The sequence below is a fragment of the Homo sapiens genome, chromosome 22 (assembly GCF_000001405.40).
Source record: "Homo sapiens chromosome 22, GRCh38.p14 Primary Assembly".
Taxonomy (NCBI): Eukaryota; Metazoa; Chordata; class Mammalia; order Primates; family Hominidae; genus Homo; species Homo sapiens.
This window is the reverse complement of record NC_000022.11, coordinates 37,939,943-37,967,241: the sequence shown is the minus strand read 5'-3', so window position 1 is coordinate 37,967,241 and position 27,299 is coordinate 37,939,943. Positions and strand designations below refer to the sequence as shown.

General features: G+C 50.9%; 3 protein-coding genes across 24 annotated transcripts in view, besides 2 other annotated features; 1 reads left to right on the top strand and 2 right to left on the bottom strand.

Moving 5' to 3' along the window:
• POLR2F (RNA polymerase II, I and III subunit F) overlaps positions 1–13,579 on the bottom strand; it is an 88,253-nt gene extending 74,674 nt beyond the window's left edge. For 3 of the 6 annotated variants that reach the window (NM_001301130.2, NM_001301131.2, NM_021974.5), the window contains exons 1-4: positions 13,435–13,543; positions 10,400–10,469; positions 7,766–7,896; positions 72–143 (exon numbers count right to left, since the gene is read on the bottom strand). In NM_001301130.2, coding sequence (NP_001288059.1) covers positions 72–143; positions 7,766–7,896; positions 10,400–10,469; positions 13,435–13,454 — 293 coding nt within the window. In that variant the 5' untranslated portion in view covers positions 13,455–13,543. Of the gene's footprint in view, positions 1–71; positions 144–7,765; positions 7,897–8,770; positions 8,869–10,340; positions 10,470–13,434 lie in introns of all 6 variants that reach the window. The other 3 variants (NM_001301129.2, NR_125371.2, NM_001363825.1) reach the window with 3 other exon arrangements.
• Positions 1,837–2,336: an enhancer, noted in NCBI's record as "H3K27ac hESC enhancer chr22:38360913-38361412 (GRCh37/hg19 assembly coordinates)". NCBI's record gives its function as "activates a minimal SCP1, AML or CMV promoter by ChIP-STARR-seq in naive H9 embryonic stem cells {active_cell/tissue: H9 hESC(naive)}" and the evidence as "EXISTENCE:reporter gene assay evidence [ECO:0000049][PMID:30033119]".
• Positions 13,308–13,377: a silencer, noted in NCBI's record as "silent region_13705". NCBI's record gives its function as "represses an Ori minimal core promoter by ATAC-STARR-seq in GM12878 lymphoblastoid cells {active_cell/tissue: GM12878}" and the evidence as "EXISTENCE:reporter gene assay evidence [ECO:0000049][PMID:35858748]".
• Positions 13,573–24,192, top strand: C22orf23 (chromosome 22 open reading frame 23). 7 transcript variants are annotated; one of them, XM_047441550.1, is made up of 7 exons: positions 13,573–13,624; positions 14,084–14,195; positions 15,720–15,782; positions 19,779–19,961; positions 22,069–22,200; positions 22,725–22,825; positions 22,996–24,192. In XM_047441550.1, the coding sequence occupies exons 2-7, from the start codon at positions 14,093–14,095 to the stop codon at positions 23,065–23,067; spliced, it is 654 nt and encodes a 217-aa protein (XP_047297506.1). In that variant the 5' UTR covers positions 13,573–13,624; positions 14,084–14,092; the 3' UTR covers positions 23,068–24,192. The 7 variants fall into 7 exon arrangements, with proteins under 7 accessions (XP_047297506.1, NP_001193991.1, XP_005261839.1 ...); NM_032561.5 differs by lacking the exon at positions 13,573–13,624 and adding an exon at positions 13,641–13,794; NM_001207062.1 differs by lacking the exon at positions 15,720–15,782.
• Positions 24,193–24,419: 227 nt separating this feature from the next.
• The window catches only part of MICALL1 (MICAL like 1), a 36,526-nt gene continuing 33,646 nt past the window's right edge, over positions 24,420–27,299 (bottom strand). For all 11 annotated transcript variants that reach the window (XM_011530471.3, NM_001410818.1, XM_011530472.3 and 8 more), the window contains one exon: positions 24,420–26,533. In XM_011530471.3, coding sequence (XP_011528773.1) covers positions 26,412–26,533 — 122 coding nt within the window. In that variant the 3' untranslated portion in view covers positions 24,420–26,411. The remainder of the gene's footprint in view (positions 26,534–27,299) is intronic.

The window sequence follows — 27,299 nt, the reverse complement described above, 5'->3', positions numbered from 1 at the left end:
GGGTGCAACAGAGAGCCCAACAGATGCCTCCCAGAGATTTGGAGAAGTGAACCATGATTTGAGTGACTTACTTGAGTTCCTTCATGGCAATGAGCAGAGGATCTGTCTCCCCCTCCAGCTCCACCATCACAGGGGCACACATCCTGTAGGGATAGGGACAGGTGTTAGGGAGACTACAAACCCAGGGAGAAGGGCCCAACAGGCAGTGAGGGTGGAACGGCATCCTGGTCCCCACCTAGAAACGTCATCTTCTAGGTAGGCAGGCACAGTAGGGAGTGGTGTGTAGGGGCACTGCCAGAGATCTTCCCTGGCAGAGGCCTATCACAGACTCCGGAGTCCAGCGGCCACAGCAGAATGTCCTGGTGGAAAGGGAGACATGTGCAAAGGCACACCATTCTAACTGCTCCAACCCCAGAGCCTTGCCTCAGTGCCCAGTGCACCTCATTTCAATTTCTATTTTCTCTCTCTACTTTTTGGAGACAAGGTTTCACTCCCATTGCCCAGACTGGAGTGCAATGGGGAGATCGTGGCTCACTGCAACCTCCACCTCCCAGGCTCAAGCAATTCTCCTGCTTGGGACTACAGGCATACACCACCAGCTATGCTAATTTTTTTATTTTTTGTATAGATGGGTGAAATTAACATTTCGCCATGTTGCCCAGGCTGGTCTCGAACTCCTGGGCTCAAGCAATCCGCCTGCCTCAGCCTTCCAGATTGCTGGGATGAAAGGCATGAGCCACCATGCCCGGCATCATTTCCATTCTCTATAGACACAACACCTCAGTAGAGGCCCTGCCCTTCCTGCCCAGCCCTCCCCACCCTTCACCTGAGGCCAGCAGTCAGGGGGCTCACCTGCTTACAACACTGTCATGACTCCCCTTGGCTATCAGGCCAGAGTGCAGTCTGGTCCCTGTTTGCCTTCCTAGCACAGTCCCGTGCTACTTTCCTGTATTTACTCCACATTCCAGCCATACCAAACTATTTCTGGTTCCCTAGATGCGCCATGTTGTTTCCCTTTTGTGTGCTCTTACAAGCTCTTCCTCTCCCTAAAAACCTGCGAGAGGTTCAGATGTCTCCACCCTGGAAATCGTGTGCTGACTCTTCAGTACCTGGACTCATTTTGCATATACTTTTCTTGGCACCAATCTCATTGAACTGTAACTACTTGTTTGGAAACTTTCCACATTAGACCATGAGCTCCTAGTGGCCCAGAACCACATGTGATTCACCACGGAGGCCCAGCCCCCAGCATAACACTTGGCCCACAGTGGGGACTCTACCACCAAGCAAAGGGATGCCAATTCTAGGCCCATCTCCTCTAGGAAGCCACCCCTGATGATTCCAGCTCAGGTTCACACCAACAAATCCAGAATTAACAGGAGAGCATGCTAAAAAATACAGGTTCCTGGGTCCTTCCCCAGACCCCCGGAATAGAATCTCTAGTGAAGCGGCCTGAGAGCCTGCATTTGCAAAACTGCCCAGATGATTCTGATAATCAGCTAGTCTGAGAGCTACCAGCTTACTAATTTTATTACTAAATATTTCGATTTATATTACTCCCAAAAGCCTGAAAATTTCCCAAGGGCAGAGATGAAGTATTTAACTTTCCCTATATCCTCTCTTAATAAGTATTTAAACTTTCCCAAAATATAAAGCTTTAAAGAATGTGGCAAAATACCTGATCTGCATGTGCCTGCTTTCTTTCAAAATATAAATAATTCAAGGGCATTCACTCATTCCGCACCTATTATGCACATGGAATGTGCAAGAATGTGTCCTTAAGTAATTTAATTTTTCTTGCACCATGGCTTCTACAGAGAAACACATCAACCATCCAGTTAAGAAGTAGATGTGACAAACATCATCAGCCACCAGGTGGTGCTAATGAACCAGACTGAAACCCCATCCAAAACCTACCCAACAAACAGTTGTTCTGGCCAGGTGCAGTGGCTCACGCCTCTAATCACAGCACTTTGGGAGGCTGAGACAGGTGAATCACCTGAGGTCAGGAGTTTGAGACCAGCCTGGCCAACATGGTGAAACCCCGTCTCTACTAAAAATACAAAAAATTAGCCGGCCGTGGTGGCACATGCCTGTAGTCCCAGATACTCGAGAGGCTGAGGCATGAGAATCGCTTGAACCAGGAGGTGAAGGTTGCAGTGAGCCGAGATGGCACCACTGCACTCCAGCCTAGGTGACAGAGTGAGACTCCACCTGCACCTACCAAGTGCAGAGTCCCATTATGGCTGTACAAGAGCTTACAGCAGGCAAGGAGCCACCAGATGGTGTCATAGCCCTTAAGTGGAAAGAGCACTAAAGACTGGAATGAGCTGGATCAAGCTTTGCTCCCCAAGAAAAACAGGACACTTGGCTGGGCACAGTGGCTCACGCCTGTAATCCCAGCACTTCGGGAGGCCAAGGCAGGTGAATCACCTGAGGTCACGAGTTCAAGACCAGCCCGACCAACATGGTGAAACACCGTCTCTACTAAAAATACAAAATATTAGCCAGGCATGGTGGCGTGTGCCTGTAATCCCAGCTACTCAGGAGGCTGAGGCTGGAGAATTCCTTGAACCCAGGAGGCAGAGGTTGCAATCAGCCAAGATCATGCCATTGCACTCCAGCCTGGGCAACAAGAGCAAAACTCCATCTCAAAAAAAAAAAAAAAAGAAAGAAAGAAAGAAAAGAAAAACAGGACACTTGGATTTATGAGTGGCCTGGATGCTGGATGTTGGCCTCAAAACCTTTAAGTGCTGCACACTGCCCACCAAATGAACTCTAATCTTCTGAACCTGTCACTCACAGGACCAGTGTCATCTTCTCCAGCCTTATGCCCCAAGCTGCTTATGATCCCTCATCACAAATCCACAACTGCCTGCCTCCACCTGGACCTTTCCTTGGGCTGTTTCTGGCACCTGGAGTACCCACAAAACCAACTCTCTTTACCTGTCCCCACTAGAATTCTAATCCCTTCACAAGGCTTTCCCAGTCACCTCTGCAATAACTCTCTTTGTACCTTTCATAAAGCACCACTCGCATCTGCCTTGGGTTGTGGGTACCTGTGCACAGGTCTATCTCCCCCACCAGAAAACACCTGGAGGACTGGGGATTATGTCTTTTTTTTTTTTTTTAATTATTTTTGGTAACAGAGTCTCACTCTGTCACCCAGGCTGGATTAGTGGCACGATCTTGGCTCAGTGCAACCTCCGCCTCCCAGGTTCAAGCGATTCTCTTGCCTCAGCCTCCCGAGTAGCTGGGATTATAGGCGCGCGCCACCACACCCGGCTAATTTTTGTATTTTTAGTAGAGACGGGGTTTCACCATGTTGGCCAGGCTGCTCTCGAACTCCTGACCTCAGGTGATCCGCCCACCTTGGCCTCCCACAGTGCTCGGATTCCAGGCGTGAGCCACCGCGCCCGGCTGGGACTACATCTTTAATCATCTCAGCATCCTATCAAGTGCTAATGCAGTATCTTTCTTCAGTGCTGAAAGACTGTTTAACTTGCAAATAAGCAGTCTATTTGTTTTAAAAATAACTTATGAATTCTTCTTTCTACTGGGCCACTTTTAGCCTATATTAGTGTGCCCCATAGAATGCTCTGCAATGACAGAAATGTCCTATCCCCCTGTGCTATCCTTTATGGTAACCAGTAGCCACATGTGGCTACTGAACACACTTGAAATGTGGCTAGTTGTAATCCCAGCACTTTGGAGGCTGAAGCAGGGGGATCACTGGAAGCCAGGAGTCTTTTTGTGAGACCCTGTCTCTACAAAAAATTAAGACATTAGCCACGTGTGGTGGCATTAGCCTGTAGTCCTAGCTACCTGGGAGGCTGAAGTGGGAAGATCACTTAAGCCTAGAAGTTTTGAGGCTGCAGTGAGCTATGATAGCACCACTGCACTCCAGCCCGGGTGATAGAGCCAAACTGTCTCTAAAAAAATAAAAGAAAAGGCTGGGCGTGGTGGCTCATGCCTGTAATCCCAGTACTTTGGGAGTCTGAGGCAGGAGGATCACCTGAGATCAGGAGTTCAAGACCAGCCTGGCCAACGAACATGGTGAAACCCCGTCCCTACTAAAAATACAAAAATTAGCCAGGCGTGGTGGCGGGTGCCTGTAATCCCAGCTACCCGGGAAGCTCAGGTTGGAGAATCACTTGAACCCGGGAGGCGGAGGATGCAGTGAGCCAAGATCACACCACTGCACTCCAGCCTGGGTGACAGAGTGAGACTCCTTCTCAAAAAAAAATAAATAGGCTGGGCGCAGTGGCTCACGCCTGTAATCCCAGCACTTTGGGAGGCCGAGGCAGGCAGATCACAAGGTCAGGAGATCGAGACCATCCTCGCTAACACGGTGAAACACCATCTCTACTAAAACTACAAAAAATTAGCCGGGCGTGGTGGCAGGTGCCTGTGGTCCCAGCTACTGGGAAGGCTGAGGCAGGAGAATGGCGTGAACCCGTGAGGCAGAGCTTGCAGTGAGCCAAGACTGTGCCACTGCACTCCAGCCTGGGTGACAGAGCAAGACTCCGTCTCAAAAAAAATTAAATAAATAAATAAAAGAAAAAGAAGTGTGGCTGGCTAGTGAGAAAGAAACTGAATTTCTAATTTTATTTAATTGTACTTAATGTAAATGGACACATACAGTTCATGGCTACCATAGTTGATGGTGCAGGCCCAGAGGATCCTGACGTTGGTGGCATATTGGGTATGGCTGTCACACTGGGTGTGGCTCTAATGCCATGCATAAGAGCAAGGAGTGCAACCAGGCTGAGAAGAGGTCCGCTACTGAGGAATGGGGGAGAACAATGTTGTCCACCCATAAAACCCTTTATTGAAGTAGACATGATGGTCATCTTTACCCCTACAGGACTAGAGGAGGCAACAGCCCAGTGCTGCTTGAACACTAAGGAGGAGAATGTACAGACAGCATTTGCTGCCCCTGTAAGCACACAGAGTCCACAAATCTGGCCCCAGCTTTCCTTTGTTTTTTTTTTGTTTGTTTGTTTGTTTGTTTTGAGATGGAGTCTCTGTCACTCAGGCTGGTGTGCAGTAGTGCGATCACAGTTCACTGCAGCCTCAACCTCCTGGCCTTAGGTGATCCTCCCACGTCAGCCTCCCGAGTAGCTGGGACTACAGGCGCACGCCACCACACTCAGCTAATTTTTGTATTTTTTGTAGAGATGGGGTTTCACCATGTTGCCCAGGCTGATTTTGAACTTCTGGGCTCAAGCAATCCACCTGCCTCGTCCTCCCAAAGTGCTGGGATTACAGTTGTGAGCCACGGCACCCAGCTGCTTTTCTTTCTAGGCTAATTTCCATTATTCCCTACTTGAACTACCCCCGCTCCTCCAGATACCCACCATTTCCCACATCAGTCTATAGGGAGTTTGGGGTAGGGGCTCCTGTTCTCAGTCTCATGCTTCCCCACAGTACCATTAGAGTACCCCGCTCTGTCCCCTCACCTACTCCTCAAAAGAAAGGAGGAGGAACTATTCTGACAGGTGAGCCTGGGGGGAAAAAAAGCAGGCATCTGTGGCCCAGCCTCTTTGAAAGTCCCTGCTTTCTCAAAGCCATCTGTTGGCAGAGGGTGCTTCCAGTCTGTTCTCCAGTCTGCCCCAAACCTTAGCAGGCATCTGAAGGCCTGCACTGCCTATGGCTAACACATCTGCACTCATTGGACACTCGCATCTCCACCTGTCTACTCTATCTCCTGAATCTTTATTCTCCCAAATGTGGGAGAGGAGGGAAGTTTGCTGATTTTCAAATCCCCAAAACCCCACCACTGCTCTGTGCTTTCATCTCTCTAGCGTGCTTTCAAGCTGGAGGGCCCCCCACTCTGCTGGACTGGCCATAGTCTACCTCACATCAAGAACCACCTTAAAGCCAGGAATGGTTGCTCATGCTTGTAATCCCAGCTCCAGCACTTTGGGAGCTGAGGCAGGAGAATCACTTGAGGCTGAGTTCAAGACCAGCCTGGGCAACATAGCAAGACCCCTATCTCCACAAAAAATACAAAGCCAGGCATAGTGGCACATACCTGTAATCCCAGCTTGAAGCTACTTGGGAGGTTGAGACAAGAAAATTGCTTGAGCCGGCCAGGCGCGGTGGCTCATGCCTGTACTCCCAGTACTTTGGGAGGCCAAGGCAGGTGGATCACAAGGTCAGGAGATGGAGACCATCCTGACTAACACCGTGAAACCCCATCTCCACTAAAAATACAAAAAAATTAGCCAGGCGTTGTGGTGGGCACCTGTAGTCCCAGCTGCTTGGGAGGCTGAGGCAGGAGAATGGCGTGATCCTAGGAGGTGGATATTGCAGTGAACCGAGATCACGCCACGGCACTCCAGCTTGGGCGACAGAGCGAGACTCCATCTCAAAAAAAAAAAAAAAGAAAAAAGAAAATTGCACCGGCCGGGCACGGTGGCTCACGCCTGTAATCCCAACATTTTGGGAGGCCAAGGCGGGTGGATCACAAGGTCAGGAGTTTGAGACCAGCCTGGCCAATATGGTGAAACCCCGTCTCTACTAAAAATACAAAAATAGCCGGGCACGGTGGCTCACGTCTGTAATCCCAACACTTTGGGAGGCCGAGGCGGGCGGATCATGAGGTCAGGAGAAAGAGACCAACCACCCTGGCTAACATGGTGAAACCCCGTCTCCACTAAAAATACAAAAAGCTAGCTGGGCACGGTGGCGGGCGCCTGTAGTCCCAGCTACTCTGGAGGCTGAGGCAGGAGAAGGGCGTGAAGCCAGGAGGCAGCACTTGCAGTGAGCGGAGAACGCGCCACTGCACTCCAGGCTGGGTGATAGAGCGAGACTCCATCTCAAAGAAAAAAGAAAAAATACAAAAATTAGCCAGGTGTGGTGGTGGACGCCTGTAGTCCCAGCTACGCGGGAGGCTGAGGCAGGACAATCGCTTGAACCCGGGAGGCAGGGGTTGTACTGAGCTGAGATTGGGCCAGTGCACTCCAGCATGGGAGACAGAGCAAGACTCTGTCAAAAAAAAAAAAAAAGAAAAGAAAATTGCTTGAGCCCAGGAGTTTGAGGCTGCAATGGGCCATGATCAGGCCCCTGTGCTCCAGCATGGGCAACAGATTGAGATCTTGACTCGGAAAATAAAACAACAAAGAACCACCATGGCCGGGCGCGGTGGCTCTCACCTGCAATCCCAACACTTTGGGAGGCAGAGGCAGGTGGATCACTTGAAGCTAGGCGTTCGAGACTAGCCTAGGCAACATGGCGAGACCCCGTCTCTATTAAAAACACAACAATTAGTTAGGCATGGTGGCACATGCCTGTAATTCCAGCTACCTGGGAGGCTGAGGCACGAGAATCACTTGAACCTGGGAGGCAGAGGTTGCAGTGAGCTGAGATTGTGCCATTGCACTCCAGCCTAGGTGACTCAGCGAGACTCTATCTCAAAAAAAAAAAAAAAAAACTACACTGGTACACATTGGCTCTGAATTCACCTTTTTTGCTGCACTAATCTGACACGCAACCATCTAGTTCTGTTTTTTTTTTTTTATCGTTTTTCTCCCATATTGTTACTTGACTTCTCAGATGTTCATGTCCTAGTTCTCCTATTAGATCACAAGCTCCCTGAGGGCAGGGGACTAGCTCAATGCCTGGTACGCAGGGACGGCACCACTTTTGGAATGTGAGAGCAGAGAGTCTGTTTTCAGGTGCCAGGCTGGGAAAGATCAGCGGTACAAGAGCTTACTGTGGCCTGACAGATGGAGAAGACAGTGAAGGGGCAATCACTCACGCAATCTGGAGCGCTCGGGTGCCCAGCACGCGGGCTCGCTCGTACTTGGTCATGTATGGTGTGGTGATTCGCTTCTGGTTGGCCTGCGGTCGCTCCCCAGAGGGGAGGATCTCGACATTCTCCTGGCCTTCCTGGACACCAAGACAAAAAAGAGGGAAAGACTCAGGTGGCACTTTTGGGTTACAGGGAGAGTGATAATGACAACAATCACAATTCTCGCTACAGCCACCGTTAATGCTTACTGCATGCCAGGGGACCACATAACTGCTTCCTAACAACTCATGTAATCCTTACAATAACCTTATGAGGCAGGGATTACAGTTCTCATTTCAGAGGCTTGGAAAGTCAGCTAACCTGACCAAGCCTCAGACCTGGTAATGGAGGTCTGAGATTCCAGAGCTAACTGCCTCATCCAGAAGAGAGCAGAGGGCCTGGAGATGGGGTGGTATCAGAATGTTGGTCCTGTAAAAGAGGTCCTGGCACAAAAAAATTACCCTAAGCAGGAAGCTAGGAATAGTCTTCCCATCTTTCAGATAGGGGAGCTGAGCCAATGGGCCAAGTGGCTAGAAAAGTCAAGGTGAAGGCAGGAATATTTAACAATTACTTACTAAGCATTTGTCCTGAGCCAGATATTGTTAACAGATGCTGAGAAAGAAAGCTAGGAATTTCTGCTCTCAATTAATGGTCTAAAGGGGAGACAAGAGTAAACAGAGCAGGTGCTATGAAGGGTGCAACAGAGTTCCCGAGGAGGTGGGGACACCTCACTCACACTGGGGGTTAGGAAAACTCCAGGGATGAGGCTTGAGCTCACCTAGAAGGATGAGCAGGAGCTGTCAAACCAATGAGGAAGGAGGCAACATGCAAAGGCATAGAGGAGAAAGAGGTTTGGACAACTAGTTGTGGACAATAATTAGAACAAAAGGTGCGTAGAGGATTGTAGGCAAGAGAATAAATTCTGTGGTATATAAAGAATTAAGTAAACAGGCCAGGCGCAGTGGCTCACACCTGTAATCCCAGCACTTTGGGAGGCCGAGGCGGGCGGATCACAAGGCAGGAGATCGAGACCATCCTGGCTAACACGGTGAACCCCGTCACTACTAAAACTACAAAAAAAAAAAAAATTAGCCGGGCGTGGTGGTGGGCGCCTGTAGTCACAGCTACTCAGAAGGCTGAGGCAGGAGAATGGCATGAACCCGGGAAGCAGAGCTTGCAGTGAGTCAACATCGCCCCACTGCGCTCCAGCCTGGGCGACAGAGCAAGACCCCGTCTCAAAAAAAAAAAAAAAAAAAGTTGACTCTGAGCTGGGCATGGTGGTGCAGAACCTGCAGTCCCAGCTACTCAGGAGGCTGAACTGGAAGGATCACTTGAGCCCAGGAGTTCAAGGCTGTAGTGCGCTATGACCACACCTGAAAATAGCCATTGTACTCTAGCCTAGACAACGTAGCAAGACACCACTTCTTAATTTAAAACAAGCAAACAAACAACAACAACAACAACAAAAAACAGAAAGAAAGGATCACTCTGGATACTCTGTTGCGAATATTCTGCAGGGGGCAGTGGCAGAAGCAGAGAGGCCATTTAGGAAAGCCAGTAGTAACTGAGCATGTGGGCAAGTAAGAAAGGGTGCTGAAAGGAGAAGAGCACACAGAGCAGAGTCTGGAGTGAGACTGAAGCAGGAAAACCAGCCACACAATTCCTGCAGGAATGTGGCTGAAAAGCAATAAGATCTAAGCCAGGTTAAGGCACCAGGAGTAGAAAAATGCAGACAGGGCTGAAGTACATCTAGGAGGCACAATCTACATGACAGGGATGGGAAGGGGACCAGAAGGATGGAGAAGGACGCATCTGACTCAAGTGAAAAGGTATCTGAAAGTGCCATGCAGAGAGAGAGAAGGCTCCATGTCTCTCCAGAACATAACTGCATTTTTTCCCTCATCAGTCACACAAGACAGAAAGCCCTACTTTCCTCTTGAGGCTGGCAACCTATCCACCTAGTTGCTCAAGCCAGAAACCTGAGAGTCGTCCTCGTCACCACTCACTTTCTCAGCCCCATAACCAACCCACCGAAATAACTCTTTTATCTGCCTTCTCATCACCTGCACTACCAGCACCTATGTCCAAGCCACAGGCCTCTCACCTTTCACTCTTGCCCTTCCCCAGTTCACTCCTTACTCGAGGCAGGAATGTACTTTCTAAAATGTAACCTGGACTGTGCCCTGGCTCAAAGTTTGTCAGTAGCTTCCCATTGCCTTTAGGCTACAAAATACTGCCTCATCTGAGCCCTGCTTACCTCTTCCCTTTGCTCCTTAAGCAGTCCCACCCAGCAGAAAGCACCTGGCATATAATAAACATTCAACACATGTTTGCCAAATGAAGGAAGGCACCGTTTAACTTGTCAGTGAACTAACTGCCCCAGAAGCCACAGGCTGTGGACCACATGGACAAAAGCTTTCAGGCCCACCCTGCAGGGCTGTTCTGCTATGCAAGACTGGAACACAGCTCACTCTAACTGGGAATGCTTATGGCAGGGGCCTTGACCACAAATAGAAGGCAGACACATTCAGCTAATCATCACCTGTCAGACGATTTGGCAGCTTGGGCTGCAGAGGTGGGAGCCTGAGGCTGAATACTGACCTCTTCGGCATTCTCCAAGTCATCTAGCCCTTCATCCTCCTCCACATCATCAAAGTCGTCGCCATCAAAACTGTACAGGAAGAAGAGATCAGTTACTTAGAGCATCACTTAAAAGAATCAAAGAGGGGCCAGGCACGGTGGATCACACTTGTAATCCTGGTACTTTCGGAGATTGAAGTGGGCGGATCACTTGAGGCCAGGAATTCAAGACCAGCCTGGCCAACAAGGCAAAACCCCATCTCTACTAAAAATACAAAAATTAGCCGGGCATGGTGGCACATGTCTGTAATACCAGCTACTTGGGGGGCTGAGTCACAAGAATTGCTTGAACCCAGGAGGTGGAGGTTGCAGTGAGCCAAGATTGCACCACTGTACTCCAGCATGGGTGACAGAACAAGAACCTGTCTCAAAATAAATAAGAAAAATTAAAAAAAAAAAAAATTCAGAGGCCGGGCATGGTGGCTTTGTATTGTGGCTCTGGGATTAAGCCTGTAATCCCAGCACTTTGGGAGGCCAAGGCGGGTGGAGTTCAAGGCCAGCCTGACCAACATGATGAAACCCCGTCTCTACTAAAAATACAAAATTAGCCGGGAGTGGTGGTGGCACATGCCTGTAATCCCAACTACTTGGGAGGCTGAGGCAGGAGAATCACTTGAACCCAGGAGGCGGAGGTTGTGGTGAGCTGAGATCACGCCATTGCACTCCAGCCTGGGCAACAAGAGTGAAACTCCGTCTCAAAACCCCCCCCCGCCACCGCAAAACAAAAAACAAACAAAAAAAAAATCAAAGAGGGCAGAGATCTGTGTCTCGCCCAGTATGTAGGAAGCACTCAATAAATATTTACTTAATAAGTAAATCAGCTGAGTGCAGTGGCTCACGTCTGTAATCCCAGCACTTTGAGAGGCCGAGGTGGGTGCATCACTTGAGGTCAGGAGTCCAAGACCAGCCTGGCCAACATGGAGAAATCTCGTCTCTGCTAAAAATACAAAAAAATTAGCCGGGTGTGGTGGTGGGCGCCTGTAATCCCAGCTACTCAGGAGGCTGAGGCACAAGAATTGCTTGAACCCGAGAGGCGGAGGGTGCACTGAGCCACGGTCACCCCACTGCACTCCAGCCTGGGTGACACAGCGAGACTCCTTCTCAAAAAATAAAAAATAATAATAAGAAGAAGAAGTAAATCCGACTTTTGTTCCATTTTACCCCTTCAATTTTTCCCCATCTGCCCCCAAATATTGCTAGTACTCATTCATCATCACTGTTTCCCTCTCTACTGGATCATTCCCATCAGCATTTTTTTTTTTTTTGAGACAAAGTCTCGCTCTGTTGTCCAGGATGGAGTGCAATGGCGTGATCTTGGCTCACTGCAACCTCTGCCTCCTGGGTTCAAGCAATTCTCCTGTCTCAGCCTCCCGAGTAGCTGGGATTATAGGCACACGCCACCATGCCCAGCTAATTTTTGTATTTTTAGTAAAGATGGGGTTTCACCATGTTGACCAGGCTGGTCTCGAACTCCTGGCCTCAGGTGATCCACCCTCCTCGGCCTCCCAAAGTGCTGGGATTAGAGGTGTAAGCCACAGCACCCGGCCCCATCAGCATTTCAACATGTGCTTTTCCTCATCTAAAAAAAAAAAAAAAAAAACCCTTATTTCTCTTCTCTCTCCCCCTATAGCCCTAATTCCATGGTGTCCTTTGAAGCAAAAATGTGTGAAAGAGCTGTCCACCCTCACTATCTTCCTCTCTTCCCATTTTGTCATAATCTCACTCCAAAAAGCCTTTCACCCCAACAGCTCCATCAAAACCACTTTCCAAGCTCATTAATGATCTCCACGTTGCTAAATCCAATGGCCAACTCTCCTTCTCATTTAGCCTGATCTATCAGCTGGCACATTAGGCCACTTGCTCTCCTCACTTGACTCCAAGGACACCTCACCCTCTTGGTGTTCCCCCACCTCCCCGGCTTCTCTTTTCCCCCAAGCACTCAATGTCCAAATGCCCTAATGCTCAGCCACGGGTCATCTCCTCTTCTCTACTGACACTCACTGGGAATGGGGTAGCAATCCCACACGTTTCTTATTTTTATCTTCAGACTAGCTCTCTTTGCACCCACATATCCCACAGGTAATTTTTGGGCTCTATCTTTAAAATAGTAATATATCCAGAATTCAAAACCAGTTCTCACCACCTCTACTCCTACCACCCTACTATAAGCTACTGACTTCTCTCATCTAGATTACTACAAGCAGGCCGGGCACGGTGGCTCACGCCTGTGATCCCAGCACTTTGGGAGGCCGAGGCGGGTGGATCACAAGCTCAGGAGTTCGAGGCCAGTCTGGCCAACATGGTGAAACCCGTCTCTACTAAAACTACAAGCAATTAGCAAGGCGTGGTGGTGCACGCCCATAATCCCAGCTAGTCGGGAGGCTGAGGCAGGAGAATCCCTTGAACCCCGGAGGTGGAGGCTGCAGTGAGCCGAGATCGCGCCACTGCACTCCAGCCTGGGCGACAGAGCAAGACTCTGTTTCAAAAAAAAAAAAAAATTACTGCAAAGGACCGTCCCAGACTTTTATTTAATGCCACCCGGTGGAGCTGCCCCAGACCCTCCTCTGGAGTACTCCTATACTACATACGTCTAGAACTGGGGAAGCTCACGCGACCACCGTTACCTGCTTGCTTGCTTACTTATGGGCCTGTGACCCCTTTTCTAGAAAGTGAGCACGTGGAGAGGCAGGGACGATTGTTCATTCACCTCAATATTCCCACTGCATGATACAGAGCCCGGCTCGCTGGAACATTTGCTGAAGGACACCTTTTCTACGGATCCCCTCTGGACCCTCGAGCCTGGGCCCTCCTGTGCCTCCAGCCGGGGCTGTGCTCCTGGGTCGCCCGCCCTTCCCTTCCTCGGCTCCGCCGGCCCCCTCAGGACCCCAGTCCCCTCAGACATTGCCCCTAGACGCCAGGCTCCTCAGCCGACCCAAGCCTTGCCTCATCCGCCCCTTCCAAGGTTGCCGCAAAGGCCACTCCGCTCCCGCACTCACTTGTCCTCGTTGTCTGACATGACACCCTCGCCTCAGCGACCCCGCTGCGCCCCGGTCCCGCGCGGAGACCCGCAAACAGCGACACTACGACTCGCGCGGCTCCTAGCTTATCTTGCGCCTGCGCCGTAACCCAGAGGAAATCACTTCCGGGAGGCAGGACAGAGCGGGGAAAGTGCGCATGCGCTGACTGGTGTGTGCGCGTTTCTATAGTAGCGAGAGGCGCTAGCTGCCAGCTCCAGCAGCCCAGATCGCGCAGTATTTCTGCGTGGCACCGGTGCGGATGCGGCTGTAAAGCAGTGGTCACCGCCTCCGGGAGCCCACTTCTATGTGGAGAGGGGAGCACCCAGAGAGGGTCTTAGGGTGAAATTTCAATTTTGGCATATCACTCAGTGGGTACTGTTGTGACCATGGCTGTGTTAACACTCCCTCCCGAGGAGACTTCCCTGCCACAGGCGCTGGGTCAGAATGAGGACTGTGTGTGTGTATCTGTGTGTCTGGATGGGAGGTTTGGGCACTGTCGCAATATTAACTGGCGGCATCATTCTCTGGCTCGATCCCCGCTTCCAGACTTCTGGGGGTGTTGGGCGTCGGGGAACAGAGATTAGGGACAGGAGACAGGGGGTGTGTCATTGCGTCTTTCCCTCCTCAGAGTCCTCCCATGGCTTCACAGAAGCAGATGGAGGTAGTGACCAAAGGAACTGGGTTCCGGCGCCGCCCCAAGACCATCACTTACACCCCGGGGACCTGCGAGCTGCTCAGAGGTCAGTCCGTTAAAGCAGCGATCCCAGCCTTTTTGGCACCAGGGACCGGTTTCGTGGAAGACAATTTTTCCACTGACGGAGGTGTGGGGAATGGTTTCGGGATGAAACTGTTCCACCTCAGATCATCAGGTATTAGTTAGATTCTCATAAGGAGCGTGCAACCTAGATCCCTCGCGTGCGCAGTTCACAATAGGGTTCGCGCTCCTATGAGAATCTAAGGCCGTCACTGACCTGAAAGGAGGCGGTGAGGCTCGCTAGCCTGCCGCTCACCTCCTGCTGTGCGGCCCGGTTCCTAACAGGCCAGGGACTGGTACCAGTCCACGGACGGAGGGTTGGGGACCCCTGAGTTAAAGGATGAGAGAAGAATGGTGGTAGTTACCCTCTGTAACTCAGTTCCCCCGTACCTGACCTGTGGCTTAGCACTATTTTCCTTTACAGATAAGGAGCCTGGGGTTCAGAAAGCTTCAAAATTCTACTGCATATGCCTTATTCGGGGGCGGGGCGGGGCGGGGGGGAGGGGAAGGTTCAAGGTGCTACACCTTGCCAAAAGTCAAAGAACTAAAATTTTTAGAGTAGTTAACTCCTATGCATCCTTTAGATCACACTTTCAACTTTCCCGAGGAAGACTTCTGCTCCTCACCACCACAGTAGGATCAACTGTTATGTGCCCTCACACATTTTCCTTCACTGGGCTTAGCACAAGCTGTAGTCAGTTATTTGGTGTCCCATCTATCCCTCCAGATCATGAATTTCATCAGGCAGGAACCGTGCCTGTTTCGGCCCACAATTGTAGCTCCAGCCCCTGAAACATGATGAACAAGTATTCATGTGTTCTTTTACTCAACAACTTTTTTGTTTTTTTCCAACAACAACATTTTTAAGTCTACCATGTGCCTTAGACTCTGTTTTAGGTGCTGGGGATACAGCAGTGAAAGAAAATGAGGTGGCTCAAACCGGTAATCCCAGCACTTTGGGAGGCCAAGGTGGGCAGATCACCTGAGGTTAGGAGTTCACGACCAGCCTGACCAACATGGAGAAACCCAGTCTCTACTAAAAGTACAAAATTAGCCGGGCGTGGTGGCGCATGTCTGTAATCCCAGCTACTTGGGAGGCTGAGGCAGGAGAATTCCTTGAACCCAGGAGGTGGAGATTGCAGTGAGCTGAGGTCGCGCCACTGCACTCCAGCCTGGGCAACAAGATGGAAGCTCCATCTCAAAAAAAAAAAAAAAAAAAAAAAAAAAAAAAAAAAGAGAAAGAGGAAAAAATATTTAACAGAGGGCAGAAATTTTATTAAACCAGCAAAAATTCTTATCATACAGCTAATATAGAAGGATAACAATAAAATAAAATATATAGAATTTTAGGTGGTCGTAAGTGCTATAGAAAAAACGAAGCAGGAAAGATAGAGAAGGCATGCTCAGTGCAGAATGGGGCTAGGATGTAGGGTTTTAAATTTCAGTAGGGTGTCAGGTGAAGGCATCCGCCTGCAGCCCAAGAGGCCTCATAGAATGCTTTGTCGTGCAGTGATGATGAAGGAATCCAAACTGACGAACATCCAGCAGCGCCACATCATGGACATCATGAAAAGTAAGGGGCAGTCCACAGAGGCTTCCTGGACAGAGGGATCTGGGGCCACACTTTTAATGCTTCTCCATGTTAAGGGAGAGAGGACCTCATATAAAAAAAACAAAGACAGCCGGGCACGTGGCTCATGCCTGTAATTCCAACACTGGGAGGCTGAGGTGGGAGGATGGCTTAAGCCCAGGAGTTCAAGACCAGCCCGGGCAACGCCACAAGCCACAAGACCTCATCTCCACAAAACCTTTTTTTTTTTTGAGACAGAGTCTCACTCTGTCGCCCAGGCTGGAGTGCAGTGGCGCAATCTCGGCTCACTGCAACTTCTGCCTCCCGGGTTCATGCCATTCTCCTGCCTCAGCCTCCCAAGTAGCTGAGACTATAGGTGCCCACCACCACGCCTGGCTAATTTTTTGTATTTTTAGTAGAGACGGCGTTTCATCGTGTTAGCCAGGATGGTCTCGATCTCCTGACCTCATGATCCGCCCACCTCGGCCTCCCAAAGTGCTGGGACTACAGGAGTGAGCCACCACGCCTGGCCAACTTTTTTGTTTTGTTTTGTTTTGAGATGAGTCTCTCTCTCTGTCGCCCAGGCTGGAGTGCAGTGGCATGATCTCGGCTCACTACAACCTCCGCCTCCTGGGTTCAGGCAATTCTCCTGCCTCAGCATCCTGACTAGCTAGGATTACAGGCGTGCGCCACCATGCCCGGCTTAATTTTTGTATTTTTAGTAGAGACTGGGTTTCACCATGTTGGCCAGGCTGGTCTCGAACTCCTGACCTCGTGATCTGCCCGCCTCGGCCTCCCAAAGTGCTGGGATTCCAGGCATGAGCCACTGCACCCAGCCCCCAAAATTTTTTAAAATTAGCCAGGTGTGGTGGTGCCAACCTGTAGTCCCAGCTACTCAGGAGGTTGAGGTGGGAGGATCACTTGACCCTGGGAGGTCAAGGCTGCAATGAGCTGTGATTGCACCACTGCACTCCAGCCTGGGCGACCGAGTGGAGCCTAATCTCAAAATAATTAAAATAAAATAAAATTAAATTAAAATAAAAACAGGTCAGGCCGGGTGTGGGAGCTCACACCTGTAATCCCAGCACTTTGGGAGGCTGAGGCGGGCAGATCACCTGAGGTCAAGAGTTCAAGACCAGCCTGGCCAACATGGTAAAACCCTGTCTCTATGCCAATACAAAAATTAGCTGGGCATGATGGCGGATGCCTGTAATACCAGCTACTCAGGAGGCTGAGGCAGGAAAATCACTTGAACCCAGCAGGCAGAGGGTGCAGCGAGCCGAGACCATACCACTGCACTCCAGTGTGGGTGACAGAGCAAGACATCGTCTCAAAAACAAAAAATAAAAAATAAAAAAAAACAGGTCAGCTGTGGTGGCTTATACCTATAATCCTATCACTTTGGGAGGCTAAGGCAGGAGGATTGCTTGAGCCCAAGAGTTCAAGACCAGCCTGGCAAAACACATACATACTGGGGTGTACCTGTAGTCCCAGCTACTCAGGAAGCTGAGGCAGGAGAATCACATGAGCCCAGGAGTTCAAGGCCAGCCTGGGCAACACAGTGAAACCTCTCTCTACAGCAAAATTTTTGGGTGTGTGACCAAAAAAATTAATACTTCTGACCGCTCGCTCCTGGGGAATTGACCTTGTAGAGGCTGGATGGGCAGAAAAGGTAGACAGGCACCCAGATCAAAACAGTGGATGAGCCAGGTGCGGTGGCTCACGCCTGTAATCCCAGCACATTCAGAGGCCGAGACAGGCAGATCACCCAAAGTCAGGAGTTCAAGACCACCCTGGCCAACATGGTGAAACTCCACCCCTACTAAAAATACAAAAATTAGCCAGGTGTGGTGACCCGGGCCTGTAGTCCCAGCTACTTGGGAAGCTGAAGCGGGAGAATAGCTTGAACCCAGGAGGCGGAGGTTGCAGTGAGCTGAGATCACACCATTGCACTCTAGCCTGGGTGACAAGAACAAAACTCTGTCTCAAAAAAAAAAAAAAAAAAAAAAAAAATTAGCCAGGCGTGGTGGCACACACCATAATCCCAGCTACTCAGGAGACTGAGGCACAAGAATCGCTTGTACCCAGGAGGTGTAGGTTGCAGAGAGCCAAGATCATGCCACTGCACTCCAGCCTGGGCAACAGAGGGAGACTCTGTCTCAAAAAAAAAAAAAAAAACAATGGATGGGACCTGCTCTAAGCTGGGCTTTATGGCAGTTGAGAGGTGGGGTCAACTGACCAGACAGGTGACACACTTGGATCGCCTGGGGGAGAAGCCCCAGGGATGGCCAAGCGGGGGGATGGACAGCAGGAGGGATAGGTACCTGCTGTCATCCAAACTGTCCCTGCTTGTCCATGCACCACACAGAAAGTTTTAGGAACCCATCCATAGAAATTAAAGCATCGGTACAAAGATTTGATGTACAAGAATGTTTATTGCAGCATTGTTTGAAGTAGTAAAAAACAAACCTAGAAATAACCTAAATTTCTGAAACAAGGAGGTGAGCTGAATAAATAATGTATCCATTCTAAGGATACTAGTATATAGCTATAAAAAATAAGTTATATATAAATGGATTGATCTGGACAGATGTCCATGAAAAAATGTTAAGTGAAAAGAGTCTGTTATTTTAATATATTACAGTACGATCCAGTGTTTGAAAGAATCTTATATGCACATATATCTTTGAACATGTTTGTATAAGCATCAAAAAGGAAGGAGACCACCAAACTGTTACCATTATCACTCATTCATTATAGAGGGGTGGGACTGGAAGGAAGAAGAGAAGACTCCTTGTACTGTTTGACTTGTTTTGTTTTGTTTCATTTTGTTTTGTTTTTTGAGACAGAGTCTCACTCTGTTGCCCAGGCTGGAGTGCAGTGGCTCAATCTCAGCTCACTGCAACCTCCACCTCCTGGGTTCAAGAGATTCTCCTGCCTCAGCCTTCCCAGTAGCTAGGATTACAGGCCTGCATCACCACGCCCAGCTAATTTTTGTTTTTTGGGGGTTTTTTTGAGACAGTCTTGCTCAGTCACCCAGGCTGGAATGCAGTGGTGCAATCTTGGCTTACTGCAACCTCCACCTCCTGGGTTCAAGTGATTCTCCCGCCTCAGCCTCCCAAGTAGCTAGGATTACAGGCACCCGTCATAATGCCTGGCTAATTTTTTTTGTTTTTCTTTAGACATGGGGTTTCACCATGTTGGCCAGGCTGGTCTCAAACTCCTGACCTCCAGTGATCTGCCCACCTCAGCCTCCCAAAGTGTTGGGATTACAGGCGTGAGCCACTGCACCTGGCCTTTTGACTTCTTTTAACAGGTAGGTATTACCTTTATTTTTATTCTATTAATTTTTTTTTGAGACGAAGTCTCGCTCTGTCGCCCAGGCTGGAGTGCAGTGGTGCAATCTCAGCTCACTGCAAGTCCCACCTCCCAGGTTCATGCCATTCTCCGGCCTCAGCCTCCCGAGCAGTAGGGACTATAGGCACCCGCCACCACGCCCAGCTAATTTTTTGTATTTTTAGTACAGACAGGGTTACACCGTGTTAGCCAGGGTGGTCTCGAATTCCTGACCTCAAGTGATTACCCATCTCGGCCTCCCAAAGTGCTGGGATTACAGGCATGAGCCACCATGCCCGGCCAACTTTTATTTTTAAAAAGTGGCCAGGTGCAATAGCTCATGCCTATAATCCTAGCACTTTGGGAGGCCGAGGTGGGTGGATCACTTGAGGTCAGGAGTCCAAGACCAGCCTGGCCAACATGGCCTGTCTCTACTAAAAATACAAAAATTAGCCAAGCATGGTGGCGCATGCCTGTAATCCCAGTTACTTGGGAGACTGAGGCAGGAGAATCGCTTGAACCTAAGAGGCAGAGGTTGCAGTAAGCCGAGATCGCGCCGCTGCACTCCAGCCTGAGTGACAGAGCAAGACTCAGACTCAAAAAAAAAAAAAAAAAAAAAAAAAAGCCATGTGGGTCCTCCCACCCCAACTCTTCGTTCCCCAGGAGGAGATGCTTTGCCCCTACAGTGCAGCCCAACATCCAGCCAGAGAGTCTTACCTTCCAAGCAAATAGCCTCGCCCATCTACCTGCCTCCCATCCTCGCAGCCCGTCCCCACCTCCGGCCTGCCAACATGTGTCAAGCCAATGGGGCCTACAGCCGGGAGCAGTTCAAGCCTCAAGCCACCAGTAAGTGAGGGTCTCAGCTAGGGCCTTTCTCCATCTCCCTGGGGGAGGACAAGGGAGAGGGACGCAAGCAGCCCACAGGGCAGGTGGGAAGGTAGCTAATCAAATCCCCATGCACTTTGTACCAATGCTCTTGAGCCTCAGCACATGTTGGCTTAGGGGTATTCAGGGCGCAGAGGAAACCAGTCAGATGGTCCTTTTTTTTTTATTTTTCCAGAACTCAGGATTAACTGAAATCTACCACTTCCTGATGATAGGGGCTATCAGGGCTCAATGCCACAGCCTAACCTCTCCCTGCAGCCCCTATACATAAGTTGCCACTACAGGCATCGCCGAGGCCCCAGGTTCCTGAGCTTTCTTAGCCTTGCTCTGCTAAGTTTTGACAAAACTTTTTTTTTTTTTTTTTTTTTAAAGACAGAGCCTTACTCTGTGCCCAGGTTGGAGTGCAGTGGTGCTATCTCGGCTCACTGTAACCTCCGCCTCCCGGGTTCAAGCAATTCTCATGTGTCAGCCTCCTGAGTAGCTGGGATTACAAGTGTCCACCACCATGTCCAGTTAATTTTTTTAGTAGAGATGGGGATTCACCATGTTGGCCAGGCTGGTCTTGAACTCCTGGCCTCAAGTGATCCGCCCACCCTGGCCTCCCAAAGTGTTGGGATTACAGGCACAAACGACCGCTCCCGGCCTTTTTTTTTTTTTTTTTTTGAGACAGTGTCGCTCTCATTCTGTCACCCATTCTGTAATACAGTGGCATGATCATAGCTCACTGCAGCCAGAACTCCTGAGCTCAAGCAATCCTCCTGCCTCAGTCTCCAGAATAGCTGGGACCACAGGTGTTCCCCACACCCAGCTTTTTTTGAGACGGAGTCTCGCGCTGTCACCCAGGCTGGAGTACAGTGGCACGATCTCGGCTCACTGCAACCTCCACCTCCTGGGTTCAGGCAATTCTCATGCCTCAGCCTCCCAAGTAGCTAGGATTACAGGCACCATCACCATGCCCTGCCCAGCTAATTTTTTTTTTTTTTGAGACTGAGTCTTGCTCTGTCGCCCAGGCTGGAGTGCAGTGGCACCATCTCGGCTCACTGCAAGCTCCACCTCCCAGGTTCACGCCATTCTCCTGCCTCAGCCTCCCGAGTAGCTGGGACTACAGGCACCTGCCATCACGCCGGGCTAATTTTTTTGTATTTTTAGTAGAGGTGGGGTCTCACCGTGTTAGCCAGGATGGTCTTGATCTCCTGACCTCGTGATCCGCCCACCTCGGCCTCCCAAAGTGCTGGGATTACAGGCATGAGCTACCGCGCCCGGCCCATGCCCAGCTAATTTTTTGTATTTTTAGTAGAGATGGGGTTTCACCATGTTGGCTGGGCTGGTCTCGAACTCCTGACCTCATGATTTGCCTGCCTCAGCCTCCCAAAGTGCTAGGATTACAGGTGTGAGCCACCGTGCCTGGACTTTTTTTTTTTTTTTTTTTTTAGAGATAGGATATCGGTCAGGCGTGATGGCTCATGCCTGTAATTCCAGCACTTTGGGAGGCCGAGGCTGGCAGATCGTTTGAGCTCATGTGTTTGAGACCAGCCTGGGCAACATGGCAAAACTCCATCTCTACTAAAAAAAAAAAAATACAAAAATTAGCTGGGCACGATGACGTCCACCTGTAGTCCCAGCTACTCGGGAGGCTGAGGTGGGAGGATGACTTGAGCCCGAGAGGTTGCAGTGAGCCGAAATTGTATCACTGCACTCCAGTCTGGGCGACAGAGTCAGACCTTGTCTCAAAAAAAAAAAAAAAAAAGAAGAAAAAAAGAGATGGGGGTCTCACTACATCCATTAGGCTGGTCTTGAACTCCTGGTCCTAAGCAATCCTCCCACCTCAGCCTCCCAAAGTGTTGGAATTACAGACCATACCCAAACTCTTTTCTTGGTTCTTTCCACCTCTTCCTGCCTCTCTTGACAGTACAGTATTGCTCAGGAGAACCCAGGGTAGCAGCAGGTGTACGGAAGCCCTGTCTGCATGACCAGGCACCCTGCAGCAAGCACGTGCACTTGGGAACACAGACCATGAATAAGGGCACCCTTTACAGCCTAACTAGGCCATTTCTTTTTGGCCCTACAGGGGATTTGGAGAAGGAGAAACAAAGACTCCAAAATATCTTTGCCACAGGGAAGGACATGGAGGAACGGAAAAGAAAGGCCCCTCCTGCACGACAGAAGGCTCCAGCCCCTGAGCTAGACCGATTTGAAGAGCGTAAGACTCCGACGGACCAGTCATGCTGGGGGTGGGGGTAATGTGAGGAGGGGGCCCAGAATTGGATGGAGCAGTCAGGGGATCCCTGAGGGCCAAGGGCCAACAAGTGAGAAACACTATTTATTTATTTATTTATTTATTTTGAGACAGTCTTGCTCTTATTGCCCAGGCTAGAGTGCAGTGGCGTGATCTGGGCTCACTGCAGCCTCCACTTCCCAGGTTCAAGCAATCCCTCCTGCCTCAGCCACCTGAGTAGCTGGGATTACCAGCGCCCGCCACCATGCCTGGCTAATTTTTGTATTTTTAGTAGACACGGGGTTTCACCATGTTGGTCAGGCTGGTCTCGAACTCCTGACCTCGTGATCCACCTGCCTTGGCCTCCCAAAGTGCTGGGATTATAGGCGTGAGCCACCGCGCCCGGCCTAGAAACACTATTTGACAATAGAACCACTTCCTCTCCTCAAGAGAGGCAACCCGCTGCCTGCATCCCTCATGGGAACCTGACAGCCCTCTCCTCTGTCCAGTGGTGAAGGAAATCCAGGAGAGGAAAGAATTCCTGGCTGACATGGAGGCCCTGGGACAGGGCAAACAGTACCGAGGAATCATCCTTGCTGAAATCTCCCAGGTAGGAGAAACAACCAGGAAAGTGGGGAGGGGAAGGGCCCAGCGCCAAGTGCGAATGGAAATACAGGGTCTGCTGTGGCAGGGTTCAGGGGTCAGGCTCTAGCTCACTGCTGTGACAGCTCCTCAGGTTCCTAGCCCTGATACACCTGCTTTCCCTGATGCCCTTTGCAGAAACTCCGGGAAATGGAAGACATTGACCACAGAAGGAGTGAGGAACTTAGGAAGGGTCTTGCCACCACTTAATCTGTCTCCAGAGACGGGCAGGGTAGCCCAAGCTCGACCACTGGAGTCCACTCCTCTGCCAGGCAGGGCCATCCTCAGGCCAGCCCATCCTACCAGCCTTCTGCCACGTCAGGTGGTGGCATAGCACTGCCCTGCAGTACCCCAAGGCATACTCAGCAGCCTAGCCCCTGCCCCGGAATGCAGATGGAGCCTCTGAGACTCACAGCCCCGTCCGCAGAGAAGCAAAGCCCGAGCATCCCTACTAGGACATGTGTCTAAAGGTATCCACTGGGCCTGCTTCCCACCACTTCTGACCTGTGGCCTGTTCATTTAGTTTTCTGAATTCAGGAATGAATATGATTCCTTTCTTCCTGTTTTAGGATTTACTTATTTGATTTCTTACCGCCTTAGGCAAGTATTCAACCACAATGATTAACTGGCCAATAAAACATATTTAACGTGGGTCATTACAAGCACCATTTTGTTTTCAGAGGGATAAGCTTATTTGTTCAAGGCATTAGACTTTGTCAAGCCCAGATGGTTTCTAGCTACCTGTTTGCATATTTCAAGTGGCAACGGGAACCAACCTCTTGGGCACCCCATGGCTGGCTGCTGTGGCGGGTGCTGAATTCCACTCTGTTAATGATCTCAATAAACCTCTGCAACGGTTCATTATCCCTCTGTGAAAACTAAGTCTCAACAAGATACCACAACCAAGGGCATTTACCTGGCAAGCAGTGCATTCAGGATTAAAAGTTGGCTTTAGCTTTATGTCTTTCCACTATACCCATGGCCACAGAAAGAAACATGAAAAGGTGGGAGCGACCTAGAGCCCTGGCCTGGGAGTTCCAATCCCTGCATGTGCCGCGTGACCTTTCTTGGGCAAAACCCACCAGCTCCGTGCTTGTGCATCTGCGAGGCCCTGCTGGGAAGGAGTCACCTGACACCTTGTCCTGTACACAGCACATCTGTCCCCCTCCCCTCTGGCTCCTGACACCCACGATCCCTGCCTTCTCCGGTATTCTGTCATTTGCTTGTCCCACTAAATCACCAAAATATTTTGGAAATATCAACCTTGTCTCGGGCACCTGGAGGGAGTCCCATAATCCCATCAGGTCACATGACCCAAGTTTCGGTTTGCAGAATAAAACGGCCCTGTAAATGGTGAGGCCCCAATCAAGGGCCGGCTCAGGGACATCCCATGGAAAGCCTCTGTGTCCACACACCCTCAAGAACCTGAGGGCAGAGGGTGCAATCTAATGGGAACAGTTGTCCTCGACCTCGAAGGCCCCATCATGTGGTCAGGAGGCAGCAAACCAGAGAACCCCCCAGGACAAATCCAGTCCACCCTGGACACACAGTATCAGCCAACCCTTGATTGAAATTCAGGCTAGTGGCCGGGCGTGGTGGCTCACGCCTGTAATCCCAGCACTTTGGGAGGCCAAGGTGGGTGGATCACAAGGTCAGGAGATCGAGACCATCCTGGTTAACACGGTGAAACCCCGTCTCTACTAAAAATACAAAAAATTAGCCAGGCGTCGTAGCATGCGCCTGTAGTCCCAGCTGCTCAGGAGGCCGAGGCAGGAGGATGGCGTGAACCCAGGAGGCGGAGCTTGCAGTGAGCTGAGATCGCGCCACTGCACTCCAGCCTGGGCGACAGAGCGAGACTCTGTCTCAAAAAAAAAAAAAAAAAATTCAGGCTAGCTTTCAGCATTTACAAATTACACACACATAAAATCTGGATTTCTAGCTTCTTATGACAAAGGATCTGGCAACACCGGGCCCACATTCAGCCCCACAGGCCACAGGTGACTTGACTTGCCTCCAGTTCACCCCTGCCCCTGCCAGCTTTGTCTCCTGACACCGAAACAGCCCGTCAGAGCTGTCACTCGGGTTCATGCGTGTTACCTGTCTGGCCCTGGAAAGGCCCTGGAGTTGGTGGCGCCAGCTCCAGGTCAACAGGCATGTTTAGAAGGAGCCTGCCAGGGGCTGCATGGCCGAGGAGCCACCTCTCCCTGCAGAGGAAAGGGATCCTGCCCAGTGGCAGGCGGTGAGGGCAGAGATCCCTCTTGGAGGATGGCCCCAACATGGCCTCTGGGCGACCAGAGATGTTCAGCCACCAGGTGTGGCAGAGGCAGGTGGGAAGGCAAACAAGGCTGCCGCTGTGGCCCGAGGCTGCAGGGCACTGGCAGTTGAGGTTGTCTGTTTATTGGTGAGGAAACTCCTCGAGAGTTAATACAGTGTAATCTTTTCCCAGAGGTGTGTAGAGGGAAGGGGGCCTAGAGGCATCCCAGAGATAGCTTATAGCAACAGTGCTTTGACCAAGAGCTGCTGGGCACATTTCCTGCAGAAAAGGTGGCGGTCCCCATCACTCCTCCTCTCCCATAGCCATCCCAGAGGGGTGAGTAGCCATCAGGCCTTCGGTGGGAGGGAGTCAGGGAAAGAACAGACAACAGAGCAGACAGACCAGTGATGACCATGGGCGGGAGCGAGCCTCTTCCCTGGACCGGGGTGGCAGAGGAAAGCCTAAGTGAGGGGTCAGACTATAAACGTTAAGGAACCGAGATGAGCACCTGCTTCAAGTGCACCCTTCCTACCTGACAACCAGGGACCAGAACTGCAGCCTGGGGACAGCACTGGGAGCAGCTAACAGAGCACTCACCTGCCCCAGCATGGCCGTCGCAGCCCTGGTCCTGGCAAGGGAGGCTCCCTGTGGAGTAAGGGGAGACGAGGGAAGCCGCTCCTGGAACTGTGAGGGAGAGAGGGATGGATTTGCCCGTCAGGCCCATTCACGTCTGACAGTACAGGCCACTCAGTCATAAACTCAAACTTAACTGAAGACTTCAGAAACAGAGTTCCTGAGTGAGGGAAACTGAGATCCAAGGGCGCCTGCACAGGACAGGAAGACAGAGACTCAGAGCCAGGGATGGGGCAGGAAGAAGCCAGTGTGGCCCAGCGCCACTTGCTGGCCTGCCTGGAAGAGCAGAACCCTGGAGGCGGAGACCCAGCCCAGAGCTCATGGCAGGGGCTGGGCAGGGTGAGGGGCGGAAGTGCTCAGCAGGCGCCCCTCCCTGGACCCTGGGACCCTATTTGCCCCTTGGGTCCGTCACAGCATCCGCAGTCATCAGAATCAGGTTGGGCAGGGCTGAATCACCGCTGCCTGGGGCTCGGAGAAGAAACAAGAGATTCTTTGGCCCAGAGCAGTCAGAGGTCCCTGAGGAGGAAGAGGCCATCACCCAGAGGATCCCTCCCCTTAGTCATCTTCCTCCTGACTGATCTGAGGGGAGCAGGGCGCCCCCTTCAAACAGAGCACAGCCCAGGAGCTGCTCCAGGAGGGGGCAGTCCCCAACTGGCTTCTCGTGCTGTTAGCTCTTGTCTCTGGGGGACTTGCTCTTGGCATCACGTTTGTTTCCTAGCAGTTTCAACATCTTCATGGTCTTGAACTTCCCCTTCTTCTTGCCCTCAGGTTCAGCCTCCCTCTGGAACTCTGCAGCACAGAGAGGGGAGCACTTAATAAAGTGGAGAAGAGGGGTACATCCAGGGCAGGCTAGACCCAGTGACACAGGCCTGGGCATGGGCAGCAGGGCTCAGCCCAGCCCCACCACTTCCTGTGTGGAGCCTGGGAGGGACAAGACACTCACCTTTCCCAGCCTCTGTCTCTTCACCTAGAGGATGGGGCCCATCCTCCCCCTCCCCACCTCCAGTGTTTGGGGAAAGATCAAGATGGTCAGCACATGTAAGAGCTCTGCTGAATCCGGGAATTCTTTTTTTTTTTGAGACTGAGTCGCTTTGTCGCCCAGGCTGGAGTGCAATGACGCGATCTTGGCCCACTGCAACCTCCGCCTCCCGGGTTCAGGCGATTCTCCTGCCTCAGCCTCCCGAGTAGCTGGGACTACAGGCAGGTGCCACCACGCCCCGGCTAATTTTTGTATTTTTAGTAGAGATGGGGTTTCACTGTTAGCCAGAATGCTCTCGATCTCCTGACCTCGTGATCCCCCCCGCCTCAGCCTCCCAAACTGCTAGGATTACAGGCATGAGCCACCACACTCGGCCTAGAATCCAGGAATTCTGAAGCATGGCATCCATTTATCTTTTTCTTTTTCTTTTTTTTGAGACAGAGTCTCTGTCGCCCAGGCTGGAGTGCAATGGTGCGGTCTCAGCTCACTGCAAACTCTGCCTCCTGGTTCAAGAAATTCTCCTGCCTTAGCCTCCCAAGTAGCTGAGATTACAGAAGTGTGCCACCACACCCAGCT

Excerpts from the sequence above, each read along its gene's own strand:
- C22orf23 (XM_005261782.4), top strand. The coding sequence starts at position 14,093 with ATGGCTTCACAGAAGCAGATGGAGGTAGTGACCAAAGGAACTGGGTTC. Across the intron at positions 15,783-19,778 it reads CATCATGGACATCATGAAAA|GAGGAGATGCTTTGCCCCTA; the intron begins GTAAGGGGCAGT and ends TTCGTTCCCCAG. Across the intron at positions 22,201-22,724 it reads GCTAGACCGATTTGAAGAGC|TGGTGAAGGAAATCCAGGAG; the intron begins GTAAGACTCCGA and ends TCCTCTGTCCAG.